The sequence below is a fragment of the Homo sapiens genome, chromosome 14 (genome assembly GCF_000001405.40).
Source record: "Homo sapiens chromosome 14, GRCh38.p14 Primary Assembly".
In the NCBI taxonomy this organism is placed as follows: Eukaryota; Metazoa; Chordata; class Mammalia; order Primates; family Hominidae; genus Homo; species Homo sapiens.
The window spans coordinates 56,729,830-56,735,468 of NC_000014.9; the positions used below are offsets into that span (position 1 = coordinate 56,729,830).

Sequence of the window (5,639 nt, forward strand, 5' to 3'; positions counted from 1 at the left end):
AGGAGACCGTTTATCTTGATGCACTTCAATGAAAATCATCATGCTTTATATTGCCATGAAATAACAATCGGAGCTGGGGGAAGGCACACAATTTCCCCTGCCCAGTTGTCCAAAATGGCAGCCCTGCAGAAACCAATTATGCTAATAATATTTTCATACTAAAAAGGAACTGTGCCATTGCTGGAGATTTCGTTTGGAACGGATGTTGTTTTTTTCCACTGGGGAAAATTTAAATGCAATTTTGTTATTTTCCTTTCCTCAAAAATGGATCTCAAATGGCAATAAGCCCCAGTTACAAGAATCTTCTAGTGAATTTTGAAGGCTAAAGTGTAGGTAACAGTGCTTGCCCCAAGCTGCTTTCAGCTTCTGGCAGGTTAGCACGAGTGCCCGGAATTCACCTGCCCACCTTGTTCTGCTCTGGACTCATCAAGCTCCTTAGTCATTTTCAGTCTGTATCCAAACTTGCAAATCAAATGCAGTCTTCCGTCTCTCAGGATCACAACTCACACACAAACTTCCAGTGGAATTGTCCGAGCTGAGGCTGGTTCTGGCTCATGCATAACCAAGGAGGATGCGTTCTCCCCTAACCAGGCCACAGCACTTTAAAATCAAAACAAACCACCCAAGCCCAACACAAAACAATCTCTGGGCTCTCACCACTTTCAGCCCACTCTCATCCCCTCAGGAGTGATGCGGTCAAAAGCCCTTCCTTCTTCAGAGTGATTTCTAGTAACCTCCAGAGTCGTTTTTCTAATTAAATAAACCTCATCTTGTCTAGCTTCCTGGTCAGCATTTTGAACCCCCTACAGATGGGTCTGAAGGATTAACAGCAAATCCTCCTCGACCTAGCTCTGGCAGATGGGCGGCATGTGTCTGATAAATACTCGGACTGGGCTTGCTTCCTCCTGTTCCTAACAGATAGACAGAACACCCAGCAAATTAATTTTAAAATGGTGCCCCTCGTAACTCTTAGAATGGCAAAGGAGGCCAAACACAAATGATATGAATTTCATATGTGGAACACATTATCACCTCCCAATAACTGAGAAAAAGGACCTGTTGGGTAAACAGGACCTGCGGGGAGGCTTGGTCAGCAAGCTTGCGCTCAGCCTGGAGAGCGAGCGGTCTACGCATATACTCGCGGAGGCACCTTCCTGCTCCACGTCCGTATTTGCATGTGGCCCTTTCCTGCTGTGAAAATGTCTTTTTGCTTTTGCGTTTACTTTGTGGTGATCCAGGAGCCTTTGGAATTTGAGGGTAGATATACCCGAAGATAGAACTCGTGTGGCTTTCATGTTAAAAAAAAAAAAAAAAAAAAAAAAAAAAAAAAAAAAAAAAAAAAAGACAGCTGAAGAGGAAAGAGCAAAACGTCTTCCCTAATTGTTAGAGATTTTTACATTTAAGAATTGATGGCTATCTCAGTCTATTCCAACTTGGAAAGAGAAAAGCAATGCTAAATTCTGGGAGAAGGGAGTAATACATGTAACTTCATTTATGAGATGCCCTGCACTCGAGAAAGCATTCTTCCAGCTGCGCCTCACTTTGCAAGCTGCTTGGAATAGCTGGCCAAGCTCAGCTCTGCCAGTCAGAGGTGTGTGCTCCCTCTCGTTCACTGGCTGTGTAACCCCAGGCCTCTATGACCTCATTTTGTAAAATGCAAGGAATACTATTAAGAGCTGTGATTTACACCCCCAGTAACTGGACAAGACAGGTAGAAATGTTATTTTTCTCATTCTACACAAATGAGGGAATGTATTCTTGTTGAGAACATACAGTAGTTGCTCAGTAAATGCTGAATAAAAGAGTAAAGGATGGAAAGAATGAAACTCAGTCACAGGGATAACCTCCCTAACAACACACAGCTGCTTTCTGGAAGGGACAGAAGTAGAACCCAGGCTTCTAGATGGTGCATCATTCCTCTACAGAGACAATGTACTTTGCAGCTACAACTTGAATTTCCCCAAGTGAAACAGGTGGCAACTTGCTGATAACTACTTCATGGTTGAAGCAGCCTGGCTCACAGACATTGAGGTGACTAGCCAAAGGTAATACAGGAATTCCAAAAACAATTCAAATCAAGAATCCAGGTCTCCTGGCTCTAGCTTCTGTGTCACCATAATCTCTGTGACCTTATTAGCTTTATTTTTCTTCATACCTAGGGTGATCAGATATCCACTTTTGCTCAGGACAGTCCTACTTTACACCATTGACCTTGTGTAATTATTAATAATTCCCTCTTTCACACCCAAAAGGGAAGTAGTTTGGATGATTAAAACTGCATGATAAATCACCAACTAACATACATACTTTTTGTTTATTATGATTATTATTGTTGTTGTTGTTGTTTTTTAAATGGAGTTTTGCTCTTGTTGCCCAGGCTGGAGTGCAGTGGCGCAATCTCGTCTCACCGCAACATCTGTATCCTGGGTTCAAGTGATTCTCCTGCCTCAGCCTCCCGAGTAGCTGGGATTACAGGCATCTGCCACCACGCCCAGCTGAGTTTTTTTTTTTTATTTTTAGTGGAGATGGGGTTTCACCATGTTGGCCAGGCTGGTCTCGAACCCCTGACCTCAGGTCATCCACCTGCCTCAGCTTCCCAAAGTGCTGGGATTACGGGTGTGAGCCATCATACCTGGCCTTTTTTATTATTTAATTCCCCATTAGAATGTCAGCTCCGGGATAGCAGGAATTTGTATGCTTTTTTCAGTGGTGTATCCTCAATACTTTAAATGGTACTAATACATAGTAGGTGTCCAATAAATATTGTTATGTGTTTTCAATGAGTGAAATTTATGACCTCAGAAGAATATTAAAGAACAAACACAATAAAATGGGTTTGAGGTTTAACTCTGGCTCTATGTGTCTATGTGGCTTTTGAACAAGGCCCCAAATCTCCTGAGCTTCAGTGTCTCCTGGACGAAATGGGCCTAATAGCAATACCAGCTCTGCCTACTAAGGGTATAAGCAAATGTGCTAATGTATATCAACATAGATGAAAATGTCTTAGAAATTCTAAACTATCCTGCAAATTGCTATTTGATTTTACTTCAACAATTATAGAACAGTGGCTTTGTTAGAAATAAGATAGCAGTAGGGATTAAAATGGAAGTGGTAGCCAGGTGCGGTGGCTCACGCCTGTAATCCCAGCACTTTGGGAGGCCGAGGTGGGCGGATCACCTGAGGTCGGGAGTTTGAGACCAGCCTGACCTACATGGAGAAACCCCATCTCTACTAAAAAATACAAAATTAGCCGGGTATGGTGGCGCATGTCTGTAATCCCAGCTACTTGGGAGGATGAGGCAGGAGAATCACTTGAACCCGGGAGGAGGAGATTGCGGTGAGCCGAGATCGCACCATTGCACTCCAGCCTGGGCAACAAAAGCAAAACTCCGTCTCAAAACAACAACAACAACAAAGAGGAAGCGGTAAAGCTCATATTCAGACATTTTTAAAGGACTGGGGCACACTGTAACTTTTCCTTGGCTTGTGCTAAAGCCCAATAAGCTAAGGAGGGCATTGTAAAAGGATATTTTACAAGGCTGCGTTTAAAAGGCAAGTTTTTGCAGATTTCTTCATAAGGAAGGAGGAAGCAGGGAACACTGCTCTTAAATGAACTGTTTCCAGGCCCAGCTGGCTGCCTACCTCTGCCTCTCCAGGAGTCCCAGGGCAGCTCTGGAGCCTGACCGTCGGAGCAGCTGCGTGGGTCCTGCTCGCTCTCCACGGGCCATCGTACACACTTGAAGCCAAACCACTGCAGGTCCAGGGCTTTCTACCCTCTCCCAGGGAGTTCCCAGAGCAATTAACAAAACAGAAGGCCTAATTAGGAGCAATTGGGATTCACTGCCGACTTTAAAGTGATCCTGAGACCCTTTTGAAGGAAAAGTGAGGTCTTTTCCCAGGATCCTCCAAGCAAGAATTTGTCAAAGATTTGTCTAAGGTGGCAGCCTGGCAGCTAATTCTCAAGCCTCTCCCGATGGAATCTCTACTCTTTGAAGGGTTTTCCTCCATCTAGAAAAATCTAAGTAGCGACGCAAGGAAACATAATTTTGACAACTTGAGGCCTCACCCTTTGCAAATGACTTTCTTGGCTGTTAATTTGTGTATTTTCTTCAGTCTACAATGAATTTTGCTTTTGACTTTTTTCTCTTTTTCAAGGCCTGACAATTTAGAACATGTAAGTAGTGTGCCTGTGGCATTCCCTCAGTAACCCTTCAAACAGCATGCAATAGTGATTCCCATGTGCTTTGCACCACCAGAGACACCCAGAAGAGTAAAATCACTGTAAATGGCCTTCTCTGCCTCAACATCACTCATAGGAAGAGAGATGCAAATTAAACCTATATTGTCATACCTGTTTTCACCTGTTAGATTAGCACAGATTTAAAAACATCTTGCAGTGTGTTGGTGAGACTGTGGATATAGGTACATTGCTGGGGCATTTAAGTTAGGGCAGCCTCTTTGGAAAGCAATTTGTGGATATCTTTGACCCAGCAATTCCCCTTCTAGGAATTTTTCTTATGGACATACTAGTTTGTGTATGAAATAGCTTCTCCATATCAATAGGAAACTGTTTACAATGCCTTATCAGTATAGCTGTTAAAAAAAAGGGAGGGGGAAGCTTTATGCATATAATATGGAATGATCTGCCAGTTATAGTTCTAGGTTAGGAAAACAAAGGGCAAACATTTGTGTGCAATATACTACTATGTTTCTAAAATGGTGTAGGGTGATAGAGTGCAGAAACACAGGCAAGTAAGTTTGAATGCACATAAAATGTCTCTGCAATGATAACCCTGCAACAGTTGACATTGTTTACCTTTGGTAAAGGGAACTGGTAGTCTGGGAACAAGTACAGAAGGGAGACTTCTTTCTATACCCTTTCGTTATCTTTTAAGTTTTGCATCCTGGGCAATTAGCTTATGCAAAACAAGCAAGTAAGAAAGTAAAGAAATGTCTTAAATGGTGATTTGTGCATTCTAGATGCTATCACTCTAGGCACCAAGATTTGCTTGATCTGCTGGTTGTGAAGCACTGTATTCCCATTTTTCATGATTTTAATGCAAAGAAATGCCATATTGCACTTCTGAAGTGGTTTCAGGTCCAGGATTAACACAGGAAAATTGGTTAAATGGTGCCTCTCCAGTAAAACAACATTCTGTCTAATATCCTAATTCTGTAAGAAAAATAAAAATAAGATTAACAAAGAGATGAATTTAAGGTGTCTGGAATCAGATATACAACTCTAAAACCAGATCCTAATATATGATCTAATAAATGATAACCAAATCCCCAAAAAAGTGTATATTTAAAGCAGAAATTAAGTTATTAAGTTTACTTTAGTATCTCTCTCTCTCTCTCTTTTTTTTTTTTTTTTGAGACCACCCAGGCAGGCTGGATTGCTGTTGGTGCAATCTCGGCTCACTGCAACCTCCACCTCCTGGGTTTGGGTAGCTGGGATTACAGGTGCTCACCACCACATCTGGCTAATTTTTGTATTTTTAGTAGAGATGGGGTCTCGCCATGCTAGCCAGGCTGGTCTTGAACTCCTGACCTCAAGTGATCTGCCTGCCTCAGCCTCCCAAAGTGCTGGGATTACAGGCGTGAGTCACCACACTGGGCTGTCGTATTGCTCTCTTCTT

General features: G+C 42.5%; 2 annotated features.

Moving 5' to 3' along the window:
* Positions 3,222-3,723: an enhancer, noted in NCBI's record as "OCT4-NANOG-H3K4me1 hESC enhancer chr14:57199769-57200270 (GRCh37/hg19 assembly coordinates)". NCBI's record gives its function as "activates a minimal SCP1, AML or CMV promoter by ChIP-STARR-seq in naive and primed H9 embryonic stem cells {active_cell/tissue: H9 hESC(naive and primed)}" and the evidence as "EXISTENCE:reporter gene assay evidence [ECO:0000049][PMID:30033119]".
* Positions 3,724-4,223: an enhancer, noted in NCBI's record as "OCT4-NANOG-H3K4me1 hESC enhancer chr14:57200271-57200770 (GRCh37/hg19 assembly coordinates)". NCBI's record gives its function as "activates a minimal SCP1, AML or CMV promoter by ChIP-STARR-seq in naive and primed H9 embryonic stem cells {active_cell/tissue: H9 hESC(naive and primed)}" and the evidence as "EXISTENCE:reporter gene assay evidence [ECO:0000049][PMID:30033119]".